Here is a 19083-nt window from a genome sequence, read left to right as displayed (position 1 = left end):
GCCTCCCAAAGGGCTGGGGTGACAGGTGTGAGCCACTGCACCCAGCCCATCTTTTTCTTTAATGGCTGCTGGAGACTGAGTCGTAGCTAGAAAGGCTTTCCTACTCCAAGGCGACATCAGAATGCTACGGGGCTTTTTTCTAGGACTTGAATGGCTTCATTTTACCATGTATAAATCTTTGATCCGCTTGGACTATTTCCTGGTGTATAGTGGGAGGTATGGATCCAACTTTATCATTTTCCAGATGGCTGACAAGAGATATTTTTTAGCAGGGAGCTGGTCCAAAACACACCAGAGAACACTTTCTTCAGGAAAAGGTCGCATGCCTCAGCAGAAGGTGTTGCGAATTATAGTAAGGAGCAGTTTTCTTTAATTAGCAGTTTTCTTTAATTCATTTGTTCAACAAATATTTTTCAAGTGCTCACTGTGTGCTAGGTACTTTTCTAGATACTGAGGCTAGAAAAAATAGACAAAAGTTTCTGCCTTCAAGGAACTCACGTTCTCTTGGAGGGGGGTGTGGGTAGACAATAGAGAAGCAAGTAAATACACATTATGTTAGACTCTATAGAGAAAAATTAAATGAGGTGTTCTGGTTACTATGACCGTGCAACTAGATGGGCCCAAACTTATGGATTCTGTGGGTCAAAGATTTGGACAGGGCCTAGCATAGGGGAACAGGAGCAGCTTTCCCTGCCCCACCATGGCTGGGACCTCAGCTGAAAGACTCAAAGGCTGGGGCCTGGGCTTCATCTGAAGGCCCATTCTCTCGTGAACCTGGTAGTTCATGCTGGTGGTTGGCTAGGGGCCTCAATTCCTCTCCACATGGACCTCTCCTTATGGTCTCCTCTCTGTGTGGGCTGGTTTGGGCTCCAAGGACGTGGTAGGTTCCAAAGGAGAAGGTCCTAAGAGGAAGAGTCAGGTGGAGGCTGTGTCACAAATTAAGAGCGGGCCTCAAAAGTCCTGCAGCGTTGCTTCTGTCACAGTTTGCTTATTAGAAGCCAGTTACTAAAGGCTGGTTCATATTCAAGGCGAGAGAAAGAAAACTCTCCTGGCCAGGTGTGGTGGCTCATGCCTGTAATCCCAGCACTTTGGGAGGCCAAGGCAGGTGGATGGCTTGAGGCCAGGATTCGAGACCAGCCTGGCCAACATGGTGAAACCCCATCTCTACCAAAAATACAAAACTTAGCTGGGTGTGGTGGTACGTGCCTGTAGTCCCAGCTACTCAGAAGGCTGAGGCATGAGAATTGATTGAACCGGAAGATAGAGGTTGCAGTGAAATGAGATTGCACCATTGCACTCCAGCCTGGGTGACAGAGTGAGACCCTGTCTCAAAAAAAGAAAAAAAAAAGAAAACTCTCTTGACGGGAGGAATGGTTCTAGAAGAACTTGTGGGAACATACATAACTGTAGCCATTGTTAGAAAATTTAATTTACCATGTAAGAGAAGGAGAGCTGGGATGAGGTGGAGGTGATGTTGATAGAGATTGGTGTCATTTTGTTTTGATTTTTTTGAGACAGGGTCTTGGTCTGTTGCCCAGGCTGGAGTGCAGTGGTGCAAACATAGCTCACTGCAGCTTTGAACTCCTGGGCTCAAAGGATCCTCCTGCCTCAGCCTCCCAAGTGGCTCCCATGCCCAGCTAATTTGTATGTATTTTTTGGAGAGATGGGGTCTTGATATGTTGTCCAGACTGGTCTTGAATTCTTGGCCTCAGGCAATCCTCTTGCCACAGCCTCACAAAGTGCTGTGATTACAGGCATGAGCTACCGCGCCCAGCTGATGTCATTTTTGTTGTTGTTAGAACAACTCAGGAAAATAAAATTCCTGTTTATTGTTGGACAACATTGTTTCACACATACCTCAAATAGGCAAAAAATAAATAAATAAATAAACAGCAACTTCATAGACAGAAAAGGAAAAAAAAGAAACCTTTTATCTTTGGCCCTTTTAACCATCTCATACAAACCAACTACTTATAGTACAGCTAAGTACGCACACACAAAAAAGTTACTGGAATGCTCAGAATAAGATTGTTTTTCTGTTGTCGTTTTTGCTTGTCTTACAAGGTTTTTTTCTCCTTTGAGATTATAACGAACATGGTCACATCACAAGTGACGTTAGAAGCAGGACAGAGAACGCTCTGAAGGCTGGTTTGGTCATCTGAGATCATTAAAAATGGCTGACCCTAACAATATGTCCAAAAATATAAAATGTAAATTAAAAAATGCAAACAAACTTCCTTTTTAAAGTATTTTTAAGGAAAAAAGCAGGGCCTTGGGAAGTTTTGGTTCTTTTTTCCTCCCCTGTTGCAAATTCTCATGGTTTGGGTTGGGTGGTGGAGAGCGCATGTCATCTGCGGGTGGCATTGCCCTCGGTGGGCGGGTGGGCCGTGTCATCTGCGGGTGGCACTGCCCTCGGTGGGCGGGTGGGCCGTGTCATCTGCGGGTGGCACTGCCCGCAGTGGGTGGGTTAGCGGGCCTCAATACTCAAAGGTGACCACATGTAGATTCTGAGACAGGAAGTGGAGGGTGAATAGGTCACCCTCCTAACATTTCCTTTTTTGCTGTCTAGTCATCCTTGTTGGTCTTCTGCTTCTTGGTATAGGCATCATCATTCTCATCATCTTCAGCTGCCCGCTTGACCTAGCGGACTCAGCTTCCTCGTCTTCATCACCATCCTCTTCCTCACCATCGCCTTCTTCTTCCTCCTCGTCTTCCTCCCCACCTTCTTCCTCTTCTTCATCTACTTCATTGTCAGCTTCCTGCTCCCCATTTTCCTCATTAGCCTTCCCATTAGCAGGGGTGTCTCTTCCATTTTCCGCTTCCTCCACAGCTTCCTTCTTCTTTAAGTCCTTGGTGGTGATTTCGGAGCTGGTGTCTACGGCTGCGTCTGACATGGTCCGGCACACCAGTGATCCGATGCAGGGGATTAAAAAGAAAGCGAGAGTTCAGGGACTGTGGTGATGAAGTGTCCGGAGTCCGCAGCGGTAAAGGCGGCTGCGGCGAGCAAGGAGCCGGACAAGGAACAATGCAAAGATGGCTTTTCAGAGCAGCCAGTGGGTGATGTCATTTTTTTATACAGGAGTCAGGGACCTGTGACCAGAAAGGAATGAAAGAAGAAGCCCTGTCCTTATGTGGGAAGCATTCCAGGCAGGGGGAAGAGCAAAGTCGAAGGCCAGGCTGAAGTGGGAGTGTGCTTGACTTACCTGGAGAGCGCGAGAACTGGTGTAGCTTACGTGGAGTGAGAAGAGATGGGGAACATGTGAATGAGGTCAGAGCGGTTGCAGGAAACGGACTGCTGCTGTAGGCCATTTTAAAGACTTTTGATTTTCCTCTGAACTGCCGAGTATTTTCAGCAGAGGAGTAACATGATCTCACTTATTTTTAACGGGCTTACTCTGGCTGCTGTGAAAACAGATTTGGGGGTAAAAGGCAAGTCTAGAAGTGGGGGATCAACTAGGAGGCCATTGCAAAGATAAAGGCAGGACACGATGAATGCTTGGACCAGGATGATAGTGGAGGAGGTGAGAAATGGCCGGATGCTGGATATGTCTCTTATAATAGAGCTAACTGGATTTGCTGATGGATTGGAGTGGGTTAATGGATAGACCATACAACTTATTTGTCTGGGGAAGTTCAGGTTTATATAATGAATTATACAGTCACCCTAGTACTGAGAAAAAGAGAGGAGCCAAGAATGACTCCAGACCGGCATGGTGGTTCACACCAGTAATCCCAGCACTTTGGGAGGCCAAGACAGGAGGATTGCTTGAGGCCAAGAATTTGAGACCGGCCTGGGCAATATAGCAAGACCCTGTCTCTACAAAATAGTTTTAAAATTAGCCAGGCACCGGCTGCCCAGTCTGGAAAGTGAGGAGCGCCTCTTCCCGGCAGCCATCCCATCTGGGAAGTGAGGAGCGTCTCTGCCCGGCCGCCCATCGTCTGAGATGTGGGGAGCGCCTCTGCCCCGCCGCCCCGTCTGGGATGTGAGGAGCGCCTCTGCCAGGCCGCGACCCCGTCTGGGAGGTGAGGAGCGTCTCTGCCCAGCCGCCCCGTCTGAGAAGTGAGGAGCCCCTCCGCCCGGCAGCCGCCCCGTCTGAGAAGTGAGGAGCCCCTCTGCCCGGCAGCCACCCCGTCTGGGAAGTGAGGAGCGTCTCCGCCCGGCAGCCGCCCCGACCGGGAGGGAGGTGGGGGGATCAGCCTCCCGCCCGGCCAGCCGCCCTGTCCAGGAGGGAGGTGGGGGGGTCAGCCCCCCGTCCGGGAGGGAGGTGGGGGGGGTCAGCCCCCCGCCCGGCCAGCCGCCCCGTCCGGGAGGGAGGTGGGGGGGTCAGCCCCCCGCCCGGCCAGCCGCCCCGTCCGGGAGGTGAGGGGCGCCTCTGCCCAGCCACCCCTACTGGGAAGTGAGGAGCCCCTCTGCCGGGCCAGCCACCCCGTCCGGGAGGGAGGTGGGGGGCTCAGCCCCCCGCCCGGCCAGCCGCCCCGTCCGGGAGGGAGGTGGGGGGGTCAGCCCCCCGCCCGGCCAGCCGCCCGGTCCGGGAGGTGAGGGGCGCCTCTGCCCGGCCGCCCCTACTAGGAAGTGAGGCGCCCCGCTGCCCGGCCAGCCGCTCCGTCCGGGAGGGAGGTGGGGGGGTCAGCCCCCTGCCCGTCCAGCCGCCCCGTCCGGGAGTTGAGGGGCGCCTCTGCCCGGCCGCCCCTACTGGGAAGTGAGGAGCCCCTCTGCCCGGCCACCACCCCGTCTGGGAGGTGTACCCAACAGCTCATTGAGAACGGGCCGGGATGACAATGGCGGCTTTGTGGAATAGAAAGGGGGGAAAGGTGGGGAAAAGATTGAGAAATCGGATGGTTGCCGTGTCTGTGTAGAAAGAAATAGACATGGGAGACTTTTCATTTTGTTCTGTACTAAGATAAATTCTTCTGCCTTGGGATCCTGTCGATCGGTGACCTTACCCCCAACCCTGTGCTCTCTGAAACATGTGCTGTGTCCACTCAGGGTTAAATGGATTAAGGGCGGTGCAAGATGTGCTTTGTTAAACAGATGCTTGAAGGCAGCATGCTCGTTAAGAATCATCACCACTCCCTAATCTCAAGTACCCAGGGACACAAACACTGCTGAAGGCCGCAGGGTCCTCTGCCTAGGAAAACCAGAGACCTTTGTTCACTTGTTTATCTGCTGACCTTCCCTCCACTATTGTCCTATGACCCTGCCAAATCCCCCTCTGCGAGAAACACCCAAGAATGATCAATAAAAAAAATAAAAATTAAAAAAAAAAAAAAAAATTAGCCAGGCACCTGTCACTAACCTGTAATCCCAGCTACTTGGGAGGCTGAGGCTGTAGGATCACTTGAGCCCTGGAGTTCGAGTCTAGCCTGGGCAGCATATGAGACCCTGTTTCTTGAAAAAAAAAAAAAAAAGAAAAGTGTTGTAAGGATTGTTACAGATATCGCCTGTTGTCAGGTGGTTTGCTGGCACAGCTTGGAGAGCTGCTGAGGCCCACGGGCCAGCTTGTCCCTGCCATGCAGCCCTAGATTGCTTTGCTCTGAAACATCGCCCTGCTGACCCGACCACATTTGTGTTTTGAGTTTTCTGTCCTCCCCTCACTGACAGCTGGCATTTTCCTTCTTGTTCCAGGCCTCTCCTCCTTTAATCCAGGGCTCGCCAGGCTATGACTGCTTGGTAACTGACTTACCAAGTACACCAGGATCATAGGTGAATGAGAGGCTGTCCTGTGACTGTCGGTCATGGCATGGGCTACTTTGAAGGCTTTTTTTTTCTTCTTCATTTTCCCTGGATAATTGCTTATTTGAAAGCAACTTTTAGATAAGTTGACTGGAACTATAAAAATTATTTTTTTGGCTGGGCACGGTGGCTCACACCTGTAATCTCAGCACTTTGGGAGGCTGAGGGGGGCAGACCACGAGGTCAGGAGATCGAGACCATCCTGGCTAACATGGTGAAACCCTGTCTCTACTAAAAATACAAAAATTAGCCAGGTGTGGTAGCAGGCACCTGTAGTCCCAGCTACTCGGGAGGCTGAGGCAGCAGAATGGCGTGAATCCAGGAGGTGGAGCTTGCGGTGAGCCAAGATCACGCCACTGCACTCCAGCCTGGGCGACAAAGAGAGACTCCGTCTCTTAAAAAAAAAAAAAAAATATATATATATATATATGTATTTGTTGTTGTTGTTGTTGCATTAATTCAGTCATGCAGTTTTTGCTAGAGGCCCAATATAGTGTTAGCACCAACTGGGGTTACAGAGATGGGCTGGTTAGTTCATTGGTACAACAAATACTATTTAATGGTTGTGGGCCTACGGATGAAACAGACAGACATCCCTGTCTGTTTCAGGTTTACATTCTAGAGTGAGAAGGTAAACAAGACAATAGGGACATCAGTAAAATATCAGGCATGCAGTGGTGCTGAGTGCCACAGAGAGACCATCAGGCAGAGAGGCAGCCGGAGGGTGCTGGGAGCAGGGGCTGCAGTTGAAACAGGGCCGTTCTGGGCAGCATGCGAACCCAGCAGTGGGGATGGGGCGGAGATGTCCCCAGCTTCAGAACCCACCAGTTATGGATCAAGGCAGGTCCGGTGCTTCTCATCCCACTAGGAATAACTCCTGAATCCCTCTCTGTGGCCTGTGGCCGGGACAGTCTGGTCCCTGGCTGCCTCCTGACCTCGTCGTTTATCTTTCCTCTCTGCTGTTCAGCTCCCGCCACAGTGGCCTGTTTCTTTCCTTGCTGCTCCTGCAGCACAGCCCTGACTCGGGGACTTTGCGTGTCCCCTCAGCGCTGCAGGGCCCACTCCTTCCTCTGTCCTGGTCTCTGCTTAGCCAGCGCACGGTCAGGGAGGCATGGGTGGCCAGCCCGCAAGGAGCCAGGCCTCCCAGCACCCCTTCCCTTGTGTGGCCTCCTCCCACATGGGATCTCAGCCGGTCCTGGCTTCAACTAAACAGGACGTGGCAGGCGTGATGCCCTGCCAATTCCAGGCCTAAGCCTTGACACAGCCTGGCAGCTTCTGCTTCTGAATTGCAGGAGCCCCAAGCTGTCATGTAAAGAAGTCTGGCTGCTTTGCTGGAAAGGCCAAATGGAGAGACCACGTGAGAGGCCACATAGACAGGCCTTGTGGAGAGGGAAAGGTGCTGAGACTACCTGGAAGGGGAGCCCAGTTGACCAAACACCCCCACTGAGCCCATCCCCCCAGCCATCCCTGCCAGGACACCAAACATGTAAGTGAGGCATCCCGGCCGTTCCAGCCTGGCCAAGCGCCAGTGGACTGTAGCTGCAGAGAAAATCTGCATAGAACAAAAGTACTGCCGAGCTGAGCCCAGTTAGTCCACAGAATCATGAGAGATAAGCAAATGATTGTTGTTTCAAGTCACTTAGTCTTGAGGTGGCTTAGCATGCAGTGAGATGACTGGAACACCTTCCCTGGCCACCCAAACTCAAATACTCAAATTGCATTTTCTTTCCTTTGCTTTTCTTCTTCCCTTTTTTTTTTTTTTTTTTTTTTTTGACAGAGTCTGGCTCTGTCGCCCAGGCTGGAGTGCGATGGTGCAATCTTGGCTCACTGCAACCTCCGCCTCCCAGGTTCAAACCATTCTCCTGCCTCACTCTCCCAAGTAGTTGGGACTACAGGCGTCCGCCACCATGCCCAGCTAATTTTTATATTTTTTGGTAGAGACAGGGTTTTGCCATGTTGGCCAGGCTGGTCTTGAACTCCTGACCTCAGGTGATCCACCCGCCTTGGCCTCCCAAAGTGCTATGATTACAGGTGTGAGCCACTACACCTGGCCCCTGTGCTTTTCTTCACACTTAAAATCTCCTGACATTTGTACATATATTTGTTTACTGTCCAGCCCTCCCACAGGTCTGTAATCTCGAAGAGGTGGGGAATTTTGTTGAATTTGCTCACTGCTTTCTTCCTGGAGCTCAAGACAGTGCCTAGATCAACACAGGCACTCAATAAATATTTGTAGAAAGAATGTATAAGTATCCATGGCCAGGCGCGGTGGCTCACACCTGTAATCTTAGCACTTTTGGAGGCCAACGTGGGCAGATCATTTGAGCCCAGGAGTATGAGAACGGCCTGGGCAACATAGGGAGACCTTCTCTCTAAAATAAATTAAAAAAAAAATAGGCCCGGCACGGTGGGTCATGCCTGTAATCCTAGCACTTTGGGAGGCCGAGGTGAGTGGATCACTTGAGGTCAAACGTTCGAGACCAGCCTGGCCAACAAAATGAAACCCCATCTATACTAAATATACAAAAAAATTAGCCAGGCATGGTGGTGCACGCCTGTAATCCCGGCTGGTTGGGGAGGCTGAGACGGGAGAATCGCTTGAACTGGGGAGGCGGAGGTTGCAGTGAGCTGAGATCATCCCATTGCACTCCAGCCTGGGTGACAGAGCGAGACTTCATCTCAAAAAAAAAAAAAAAAAGAAAAGAAAAAAATTTAAATAATAAATAAATATCCAATCTTCTAAGATCCAAACAGTCCTGCTTTTAGAATGACCCCTTTACCCTGAGAAAACAAAACAGAACAAAACACTCAATCCCCAGCTTGCAGGGGCACACGCTGTTCTGCGAGGTACATCCTGCAACTGACCTCAGGCATGAAAATCCACACATTTTTCTTGAACTGCACCGTGGAAGATTGATTGGAAAACGAACTGAACATTTAAAAATAAACAATGACTTTAAACAAACTGAGTTCTATGTTTGGACAATCTCCTCTATTCTGGGAGGAAGGGGTGAAGAGCTCTCAGGGCAGAGGGCCCTGCTCTAGCTGCCCCTGAGTCCCAGGGCCCCCTCCCTGCAGCCTTCGCCACATACCAATTCCTCCGCAAGAGGCCTCCTGAGCTCTGGGAGTCCTGCCTTCTACGCAAAGGGGCAGATTTGTGTCACCACCACCGTCCACACAGTTGCTATTTCAGTTGTCCCCCCTGTTCTGTCAGCCTGACATTTCCCCAGCCGATTCCAAGCCCAGTGTACCATTTTAGCTGACGTGGGTGAGCGTTTCGTGGGGACAGCAGATGGATGGAATGACAAATAGCAGGATGGTGGGGACAGCTGAGAAGTGCTTTTTCCTGTGTCGGATCTGTTGGCTGTGCACGTGCCCCGACGTAGTCTAGACACACTGTGGGGGCAGCGCATGTGCCAGGGCCCAGCCGGCGCGCGGGCTTCCATTTCTTTCTTTGCTGCTAATCGTGCCCATTCACACAGCCAATCAGCCAACTAGCCAGTTGTCTTGGTTTGAGCTCCAGCAGAAGCAGACCCCAAGATAGTAGTTTCTTTGACCCAGAAAGCGTGAGATGGTAGAGGGGAAGTGAGACTGAAAGAGAAGGCAGAGTGGTTATGAGCAGTCACTGCTGTGGACAGCCAGGGCTCAGTGCTGCTGGGTCTGGCCAGGTGACTGTGCAGAACCTGCCCCAGGGTTGTCCCGTGCTGGGCTATTCATCCACTAACTGCTGGTTTTCATTGCTTAAGTGTTGCCCCAGGGTGTTAACTCCATGGAACTTTGGCCTGATCCGCACCCAGACAAAACCCGCAGGCAGAAATTCTCAGGTTCTTAGTAAGAAGCCATCATTTGGAACAGCGAGTGTGAGGGTATGGTCATTTGTAACACTGACCTGTGTGTCTGCCACATACCAGGCACTGAGTTAGACCAGGGGCAGAGGAAACATAAAATGGGAGGTTTAGGCCGGGCACGGTGGCTCATGCATGTAATCTCAGCACTTTGGAAGGCTGAGTTGGGTGGATCACTTGAGGTCAAAAGTTCGAGACCAGCCTAGGCAAAATTGCAAGACCCCTGTCTCTACAAAAACTGTTAAAATCAGCCAGGCATAGTAGCACATGCCTACAGTCCCAGCTACATAAGAGGCTGAGGTGGGAGGATCACTAGAGTCCAGGAGTTCGAGGCTGCAGTGAGCCATGTTGGCACCAGTGTTGCACTCCAGCCTGGGCAACAGAGCAAGTCACTGTCTCAAAAAAATAATAATAATTTGAAAGTTGGAGGCTTGCCCAGAGTCTAGTGGGGAGATGGATATACAAGCAGATGTGGTGAATACCTTGGCAGAGCCCTGTGTCAAATGCAACAGTAGACAGAACAACCACGGACCATTCCTGGGAAGCTTCGCAGCGCAGGGAACATGAGCTGGGTCTTGTGAGCAAGACTCGAGTTCAGGGTTACGTAAGTGTAGTTCACAGTTCACAGTCTCTCCACACATATGGTGGCTGCCTTCCATGATGGGACAGCTGGGACTCCCTGTCAGTTAGAAGTTCTTGGAATTCCTAACCAGGGAGCTGCTTCTTGAGCATTCAGCAAAGAAACCTACCAAAGGAAGGGGCAGAGGCCTCTCGATCAATTCCATGTCCTGGGGTGACACCTGAGCTGCCGTGCAGGGAGTGAGGGCTGCCTGGTTGTCCTGGTGACAAGCTGGAGGTCCTGGAACTGGAAAGCAGTTGGAGAGGCCACCAGTCCTCTCATCTCTAGGCCCTACCACTGGCTGGCTCCTTGATTTTAGAGGCCCCCATGGATGTGGGAGGGATGCCATCACACTGTCATTTGTTCCCCTGGTTAATGAGCTGGTTCTCCCTTCCTCACAGCTCACCTCCTCATGCCTAGCCTCAGGGAATAGCCTTACAATCTGCTCTATTTATTCAGCATTTTACAGACTATGAGGGCTTGTGACATGTAGGCTCACAATTGGTTCTTAAGGGACCCTGTGAGGCAGGCAAGCTGTCATTAACTGCATTTTTCTTGAGAATCCCCAGGCCTCCAAATGTCGACAGGTGAGTTCAAGGTTACACAGCTAGGAGGTGGAAAGTCCCTGAGCCACACCAGGTCTTTGCCCCATGTCCTATATGTGTCTCGAGCTTCATGAAGGGGAAAGTTGTTAAACGGGCGATTTTCTCCCTCTTGTTTCTGGTCTAGCCTCAGCATTTCCTAAACGACTTGAGACAATTTTATGTACTGTGCTGTGCTGCTCTAAATAACATTGGAGTACACCGCAAAAAAGTGTATCCATTTTCTATATTTCTGATTCTGTTTGGAAGAAAATCTCTGTAGATAACACAGCCTTTGTCACTGGCCTTTTGTTCGAATATCTTCCTTTTATAAAAGAGAGAGCAGCCCTCAGATTCTGCTTTTGGAAAGCAGAAGTGAGTTAGAATTACTAGCCCTGGTTTGTGGTTGTTTTTGAAACAGAGTCTCACTCTGTTGCCCAGGCTGGAATGCAGTGGTGCGATCTCAGCTCACTGCAACCTCCACCTCCTGGGTTTAAGCAATTCTTGTGCCTCAGCCTCCCGAGTAGCTGGGATTACAGGTATGTGCCACCATGCCCGACTAATTTTTGTATTTTTAGTAGAGACTATGTTGGCCAGGCTGGTCTCGAACTCCTGACCTCAAGTGATCCACCCACCTCGGCCTCCCAAAGTGCTGGGATTACAGGTGTGAGTCACCACATCCAGCTTTGTTTGTTTGTTTGTTTGTTTGTTTGTTTTTGAGATGGAGTCTCACTCCATTGCCCAAGCTGGAGTGCAGTGGCGTGATCTCGGCTCACTGCAACTTCCACCTCCTGGGTTCAAACGATTCTCCTGCCTCAGCCTCCTGAGTAGCTGGGATTACAGGTGTGTGCCACCACACCTGGCTGATTTTTGTATTTTTAGTAGAGACGGGGGTTTCACCATGTTGGCCACGCTGGTCTCGAACTCTTAACCTCAGGTCATCCACCTGCCTCAGCTCCCAAAGTGCTAGGATTACAGGCATGAGCCACCGTGCCCAGCCGTTTTTTTTTTTTTTGGAGAGACAGGGTTTCCCCATGTTGCCCAGGCTGGTCTCAACCTCCTGAGCTCAAGTGAGTCCCTTGCCTTGAGCTCAAGTGATTCCCTTGCCTTGGGCTCCCAGCGTGCTGGGATTACAGGTGTGAGCCATCATGCTCGGCCACTGCTTTGTGTTTACTGTATTTATTTTACAATAAATAAATGTATTTATTGCCTTCTATTTAGGACAGGTGATAGTCACTTCCCATTGTAGTAGTTAACATGCTTCATGCTTCCTTTTGAAATTAATTTCTTTTTTTTTTTTTTTTTTTTTTTTGAGACAGAGTTTCACTCTTGTTGCCCAGGCTGGAGTTCAATGGTGCTATCTCAGCCCATAGCAACCTCCACCTCCCAGGTTCAAGCAATTCTTCTGCCTCAGCCCCCCGAGTAGCTGGGATTACAGGCATGTGCCACCACTCCTGGCTAATTTTGTATTTTTAGTAGAGATGAGGTTTGTCCATGTTGGTCAGGCTGGTCTCGAACTCCCGACCTCAGGTGATCTGCCTGCCTCGGCCTCCCGAAGTGCTAGGATTACAGGCGTGAGCCACCACACCCAGCCTGAAATTAATTTCTTTAAATAAAAAGAGTGGGGCTGGGCACGGTGGCTCACTCCTGTAATCTCAGCACTTTGGGAGGCTGAGGCAGGCAGATCATGAGGTCATGAGATCGAGACCATCCTGGCTAACATGGTAAAACCCCATCTCTATTAGAAATACAAAAAAATTAGCAGGACATGGTGGTGTGCGCCTGTAGTCCCAGCTACTTAGGAGGCTGAGGCAGGAGAATCACTTGAAACCGGGAGGCAGAGGTTGCAGTGAGCCGAGATTGTGCCACTGCACTCCAGCCTGGCAACAGAGCGAGACTCTGTCTAAAAAAAAAAAAAAAAAAAAAAAAGTGAACCTGTTTAATAGTCTTAAGTGGTGCTCAGATATGGCAAAAACAAAGTTTTTTTGTGGCACAGGAGTGACTGGAGTTTGGGAAATATGAGTTTGCCCAGCAGGGACTGAACTTTTTCATTATGATGATAACAATAAAACAGCTACTACTATGTTATGTGCCAGCTATTTCTAGTCTTTATGAATACCCTATGAAGTAGTTATTATTTTACCCATTTACAGACGAGGACACTGAGGCTCAAAAGCTTTAGATAACTTGCCTGGGTCATGCTGTTAGCATGGTGGGTTGTAAAAATGGGCCCATTGTTCCCTTTCCTGTTCCACAGCCCTTTGCCATGTGAGTTTTTGGCTCCTCTCTGCAAGAGGTGGAATTTATTTCTCTATCCTTTGGTCTTGCCTTGGCCACATGACCTGCTTTGGCAAACGAGACATTAGTCAGCACGGCCCAAGCCGAGGCTTGTGAAATGCTGTGTGCTGGGGCTTGTTCTGCTGCTGTCCGGAATCCTTCTGCTACTGCTGCGTGAATGAGAGCCCAGGTTAGCCCTCTGGAGGATGAGAGTCACCAGGCCCAGGCATCTCCATGGCCCCAGCTGACACCAGGCCAACCCTCAGACATCTAAGTGATGACATCCTAAATCATCTAGCCCTACTTGAGCCAGCACAGACCAGAAATGCTCAGCTTGACCTCAGAATCATGAGAAATAAGTCGTAAACCACTGAATTTGGGGGTGATTTTTATTTACTTGTTTTTGAGACAAGGTCTCACTCTGTCACCCAGACTGGAGTGCTGTGGCACAAACATGACTCACTGCAACCTCTATCTCCCAGGCTCAAGCGATCCTCCCAACTCAGCCTCCCAAGTAGCTGGGACCACAGGCATGTGCCACCACAACCAGCTAGTTTGTTTTATTTTGTTTTTTTCCGTTTTTTCTAGAAGCGAGTCTCACCATGTTGCCCAGGCTGGGTGATTTATTGCACAGCAAAGCTAACTGATAGTGTTAGTGAGGAGAAAAGATGGGGCTGGACCTGGATTTTCTCCCTCCAGCCTTTCCCATGTCAGCAAATAACACACATGCCCTAAACCTACAACTTACCTTCCATTTATACTTCTTCATCACTCATCTCATTCAAACCCTCAGGCAAGGCTCCCAAAATACATCTCGAATCTTCCTTCCCAGCACCTCCTCTGCCATTTCTCTAGGCCAGCCTACCTCTTCTATCATCTAGACTGAGAGTCGGCAGACTTACTCTATAGAAGTCCAGATAGTAAATACTTGAGGCTTTGCAGGCCATACAGCCTCTGTTACCGACTTAACCTGCAGCTACAGAAGGAAAGCAGCCAGAGTCAAAAGCAAATGGGTGATGCTGTGTTCCAGGAAACCTTGACTTACAGACACTGGAATTCGAATCTTTACAATTTTATAAAAATTATATATGCCATAAAAAGACTCTACTTTTGATTTTTTTTCCAAACATTTAAAAATGTAAAAACAACTCTATGCTCACAGACCGTATAAAGACTGTATCAGGCAGCAAGCCGGATTTGGTGGATGAGCCAGTGTGCTGACTCCTATTATAATAGCTCTGTCTATAATAGTCCAGCCAGGCTGTGCTTCAGCACTTGCCTCCTGCATTCTGCTCTCCAAACAATGCTGATCTGCTTCTGCTGCTGCTGCTGCCGCCGCCGCCTCCTCCTCCTCCTCTTCTTCTTCTTTTTCTTCTTCTTCGTCTTTTAAATAATTTTAATTAAATTAGGCCAGGTACGGTGGCTCATGCCTGTAATCCCAGCACTTTGGGAGGCCGAGGCAGGTGGATCGTTTGAGGTCAGGAGTTCGAGACCAGCCTGGTGAAACCCCATCTCTACTAAAAATACAAAAATTAGCCAGGCATGGTGGCGTTGGCATGCACCTGTAATCCCAGCTACTCGGGAGGCTGAGGCAGGAGAATCACTCGAACCTGGGAGGCAGATGTTGCGGTGAGTCGAAGTGGCGCCATTGCATTCCAGCCTAGGCGACAAGAGCAAAACTCCATCTCAAAATAAATAAAATAAAATAGATAAGATAAAATAAAAAAAAATAGAGGTGGAGGTCTCACTATGTTGCCCAGGCTGGTTTCGAACTCCTGGGCTCAAGTGATCTCCTGCCTTGGCCTCCCAAAGTGCTGGGATTACCGGTGAGAGCCACTGCACTTGGCCCCGCTCTTCTTAAAAGGCAATGGAATGGCTTTATTCCCCTGCTTATCCCTGTCTTTCCATCTTAGAGTAAAATCTAAACTCCTTACCATGGCATATTGAGTTTGACATCATCTGGCTCCCCCGCCCACTTCTGCAGCCTGCAATTCCTTTCCTTTCCCCACTGCCTTCTGGCCACCCCTGTGTTCTTATAGCTCCTGTAACATGCTGTTCTTTCCTACCCTGGGGCCTTTGAACATGCTGATCCTTCTGCTGGAATATTCTTCCTGTGGCTCTCTGCAGTGCTGGCCACGTTTCCTCCTTTCCTCCTTCAAGTATCATGTTATGTGTCGCCCCTCAGAGGAGCCCTCTCTGACCACACAATCCAAAGTTGCAATTCTCCTCCTGGCTCAGTGATCCTCTGTTTCTTCATGGCACTGTCAATCTGTAATTTTCATACTAACTTTCTCACTTATTAATTGTTTGCCCTTTCTCTAGACTGTCAGCTCCATGCATTTTGCAAAAAACTAGCACAAGGCAGACATGAATATTCAATAAGACATTTGTCGGGTAAAGGAATGAATTACCACCTATGATGGTCAATCTTAGGTGTCAGCGTAACTGGATTAATGACACCCAGACAGCTGGCGAAGCATTATTTTGAGGTGTCTGTGAGGTGTTTCTGGAAGAAACTGGCATTTGAATCAGTGGACTGAGTAAGGAAGATCCATCCTCACTCAATGTCAGGGGGCACCGTCCATCAGCTGAGGGCCAGGATAACAAAAAGGCAAAGGAAAGGAGGATTTGCTCTGTTTTCTGGAGCTGGAACACCCTTCTTCTCCTGCCCTTGGACATCAGAACTCCAGCTTCTCCAGCTTTTGGACTCTGGGACACCAGTGGCCTCCTGGATTCTCAGGCTTTCGGCCTGAGACTGAGTGCTATCAGGTTCTCTGGTTCTGAGGCTTTTGAACTTGGACGGAGCCATGCTACCAGCTTCCCTGGTTTTCCAGCCTGCAGACAGCAGACCGTAGGACTTCTCAGCCCCCATAATTGTGTGAGCCCATTCCCCTAATAAATCCCCTGTCATATACCTATATCTACAAGCCCTATTGGTTTTAGCTCTCTGATTTATACACCGTCTAACTACAATCCCATGACTTTCTTCAGCATCGCATCCTTATCTGTACTGCCTCATTAATCCTATTTTGCAAGTCTTGTTTCACTGCGAGACTCCCCTAGTTCTACACAAAGCTTTCATTTCTTTTTTTTTTCTTCATATACTCAAAACTTTCAAATCACTGAGCTCACAAGTCAACCCACAGCCTCTTATCAAAGGGGTGACCAGCACTAACCAAATTTCTCTGGTGAGCCATTCTGATACCCAGCTCTTTTTCTGCTGCTCTAGGAAATGGCAGTTTCCTCTGTTGTTTGTCTCTTTACTCATCTCTCTCTTAAAACACTATTCTGGGCCAGACATGGTGGCTCACGCCTATAATCGCAGCACTTTGGGAGGCCAAGGTGGATGGATCACCTGAGGTCAGGAGTTCGAGACCAGCCAGCCAACATGAAAAAACCCCGTCTCTACTAAAAATACAAAAAATTAGCCAGGTGCGGTGGTAATGACCTGTAATCCCAGCTACTCGGGAGGCTGAGGCAAGAGAATCGCTTGAATCCAGGAGGCAGAGGTTGTAGTGAGCCAAGATTGTGCCACTGCACTCCAGCCTTGGCGACAGAATGAGACCCTGTCTCAAAAAAATAAATAAATAAAAAGATGTTTTGGGTTCAGATTTGAGAGTTTTTTTCTTTTTGTTTTTCATTTTACTTAAGAAATAGATATAAAATAAGTAGTTTTTTTTGTCTTTTTGTTTGTTTGTTTGTTTTTGTTTTGAGACGGAGTCTCGTTCTGCCGCCCTGGCTGGAATGCAGTGGTGCAATCTCTGCTCCCTGCAACCTCCCCCTCCAGGGTTCAAGCGATTCTCCTGCCTCAGCCTCCTGAGTAGCTGGGACTACAGGATGTGCCACCACTCCCGGCTAATTTTTTGTATTTTTAGTAGAGACGGGGTTTCACTGTGTTTGTTACATGTACATCTGAAATAGTGAAGTAACAGAAAAAGGTAGAATATGAACAAGAATCAAAGTGGGTGGTAAAAACAAAGGCACCACAAGAGTTCAGTGAAGGGTAGAGTCGGTTCCACGGAGGAAGTAGTTGATCTTTGCCCAGTGCCTATTCCACGTTCAGCATTTGTCACACATTTCCTATGTTAATCTTTCCAGGAACACTGAGGTTAATACTCTTCCCCAAATTACTAGTGAGGAAAAAGGCATGGAGAGCTGAAGTGACTTAGCATTGCACAGCAGGATTTGAACCCACCTCTGCCCAATTCTGAGGCTCCTGCTTCCTGCCCTATACCATTTTGTTTCCTGTGGAGCAGGTAAGACTTGAGCAGATCATCAGTGGGATTGCGGTTCAGGCCCAAGCTCTCAGGCAAGATATGGCTGAACAAAGGGAGGAAGGGAAGTTATTTTATGCAAAGGTGTCAGCACAAACAACAGCTTAGAAATGAGTGAGACTGGTGCAGTAGGACAGTCTAGACTTGCCTAAATGAATGCTTCTAATCACAGTTGACCTTAGCTTGCTGTTCTTTAGAATTTGTTTTCTTTTTTAACTTTTTTTTTTTTTTGAGACAGGGTCTCCCTCTGTCCCCCAGGCTGGAGTGAAGTGGTGTGATCTTGGCTCACTGTAGCCTCTGCCTCCCAGGCACAAGTGGTCTTCCCACCTCAGCCTCCTGAGTAGCTGGGCCTGACTACAGGTGTGCACCACCATGCCTGGCTAATTTTTGTATTTTTTGTAGAGACAGGATTTTGCCATGTTGCCCAAGCTGGTCTTGAACTCCTGGGCTCAAGCAATCTGCCAGCCTCAGCCTCCGAAAATGTCGGGATTACATGCACAAGCCACCGCACACGGCTTCTTTTTTTAAAAAACTTTTAATATGCCATTAGTTTAGTGATACTATTACTTAAAGACACATTAGGTTACATTTCAGCAACATTGCTTTTTTACACTATTACCTTTAATGAACATTTTTGTTCATCACAAAATTGTAGCATGTTACCTAACCTGTTAGATAATATTTGTTATCTAACAGATCTTTAAAACTATATCTATGTCTCTGATGATTAATATCTAACACTTTCATACACTTTTCAATCCTTTTAGAAGTCCTCGCAGAGAATGGCTGAGGCTGATTGGGACGCATTAACTGGGGCTCTGGTGAGCCGACTGAGCTGAGTCCCCTGCAGTGCCTGTATGACCTGCACCAACGTGGGAATTGCCATCTCTCCTGCTGGAAAATCAGTGCTGCCTGTGGGAAGCCCGCCCTGGTTGGAGCTGCAGTTTCCTACCAGTTTGGTAAATAGCCTCATTTCTACTTTATCTCACTCCACTTTTCCGAACCGGTGACCCAGATGCATTTGGTAGCAAGGGGCCTCACTGGGCTGTGTAGCCAGGCTTCTATATTATTGTAGTAGAAAAAGTGAGAAGTACAAGCTGCCTGAAAATACAGAGGTAAAGGAAGAACACTCATGTAGTTGATTTTATTCAAAACAGACCTGTGTTGGTGACTAAAATGCCCAAATTACCCGGAGATAGATGTAGGTCCGCCCATTTTTGGCTTCTGCCCCATAATTGCAGTGTACTTCTCTCACCACTAGATGACAGTCGCGTTTTAAAGCAGATTTTATTCACGCGTTAATGCTGTTCCAAAAAAAAAATGGTTTTCATACCGTCAGAAGAGGGGCTCACAACTCTTGTGTTAGAGAATATGCGAGAAATCAGGAAATTTCAGACACCACTGGTGGGACATTAAGTCGATGTCACTGTTTTGGAGAGGAATTTGGTGGTAATGTTCAAGCTTTGACCCAGCAGAGACACATCCAGGTCTGATCATTTGATAGGAGGATGGCTAACATTTTGTTCCCACCATGTGTCAGGCACTTTTCTGAATGCTTCGCTCATTCAATCCTCACAATTTCAAGAAGCAGATACTATTATTTTCCCCCAAATTACAGATGAGGAAATCAAGCACAAAAAGGTCAAGTAACAGGCCGGGTGCGGTGGCCCACGCCTGTAATCCCAGCACTTTGGGAGGCCGAGGTGGGTGGATCACGAGGTCAGGAGATCGAGACCATCCTGGCTAACAAGGT

At 48.8% G+C, this 19083-nt stretch overlaps 1 pseudogene, besides 6 other annotated features; it reads right to left on the bottom strand.

The window, feature by feature from the left end:
• On the bottom strand, nucleotides 1793-3058 carry PTMAP3 (prothymosin alpha pseudogene 3; annotated as a pseudogene).
• Nucleotides 6321-6881: an enhancer, noted in NCBI's record as "H3K27ac-H3K4me1 hESC enhancer chr20:17988613-17989173 (GRCh37/hg19 assembly coordinates)". NCBI's record gives its function as "activates a minimal SCP1, AML or CMV promoter by ChIP-STARR-seq in primed H9 embryonic stem cells {active_cell/tissue: H9 hESC(primed)}" and the evidence as "EXISTENCE:reporter gene assay evidence [ECO:0000049][PMID:30033119]".
• Nucleotides 6882-7443: an enhancer, noted in NCBI's record as "H3K27ac-H3K4me1 hESC enhancer chr20:17988051-17988612 (GRCh37/hg19 assembly coordinates)". NCBI's record gives its function as "activates a minimal SCP1, AML or CMV promoter by ChIP-STARR-seq in primed H9 embryonic stem cells {active_cell/tissue: H9 hESC(primed)}" and the evidence as "EXISTENCE:reporter gene assay evidence [ECO:0000049][PMID:30033119]".
• Nucleotides 9022-9081: an enhancer, noted in NCBI's record as "active region_17580". NCBI's record gives its function as "activates an Ori minimal core promoter by ATAC-STARR-seq in GM12878 lymphoblastoid cells {active_cell/tissue: GM12878}" and the evidence as "EXISTENCE:reporter gene assay evidence [ECO:0000049][PMID:35858748]".
• Nucleotides 9130-9691: an enhancer, noted in NCBI's record as "NANOG-H3K27ac-H3K4me1 hESC enhancer chr20:17985803-17986364 (GRCh37/hg19 assembly coordinates)". NCBI's record gives its function as "activates a minimal SCP1, AML or CMV promoter by ChIP-STARR-seq in naive and primed H9 embryonic stem cells {active_cell/tissue: H9 hESC(naive and primed)}" and the evidence as "EXISTENCE:reporter gene assay evidence [ECO:0000049][PMID:30033119]".
• Nucleotides 14424-14925: an enhancer, noted in NCBI's record as "H3K27ac hESC enhancer chr20:17980569-17981070 (GRCh37/hg19 assembly coordinates)". NCBI's record gives its function as "activates a minimal SCP1, AML or CMV promoter by ChIP-STARR-seq in naive H9 embryonic stem cells {active_cell/tissue: H9 hESC(naive)}" and the evidence as "EXISTENCE:reporter gene assay evidence [ECO:0000049][PMID:30033119]".
• Nucleotides 18650-18719: an enhancer, noted in NCBI's record as "active region_17579". NCBI's record gives its function as "activates an Ori minimal core promoter by ATAC-STARR-seq in GM12878 lymphoblastoid cells {active_cell/tissue: GM12878}" and the evidence as "EXISTENCE:reporter gene assay evidence [ECO:0000049][PMID:35858748]".

This window comes from Homo sapiens, chromosome 20 (genome assembly GCF_000001405.40).
Source record: "Homo sapiens chromosome 20, GRCh38.p14 Primary Assembly".
Taxonomy (NCBI): Eukaryota; Metazoa; Chordata; class Mammalia; order Primates; family Hominidae; genus Homo; species Homo sapiens.
The sequence above is the reverse complement of the archived record's forward strand: the minus strand, read 5'-3'. Positions and strand labels throughout refer to the sequence as shown.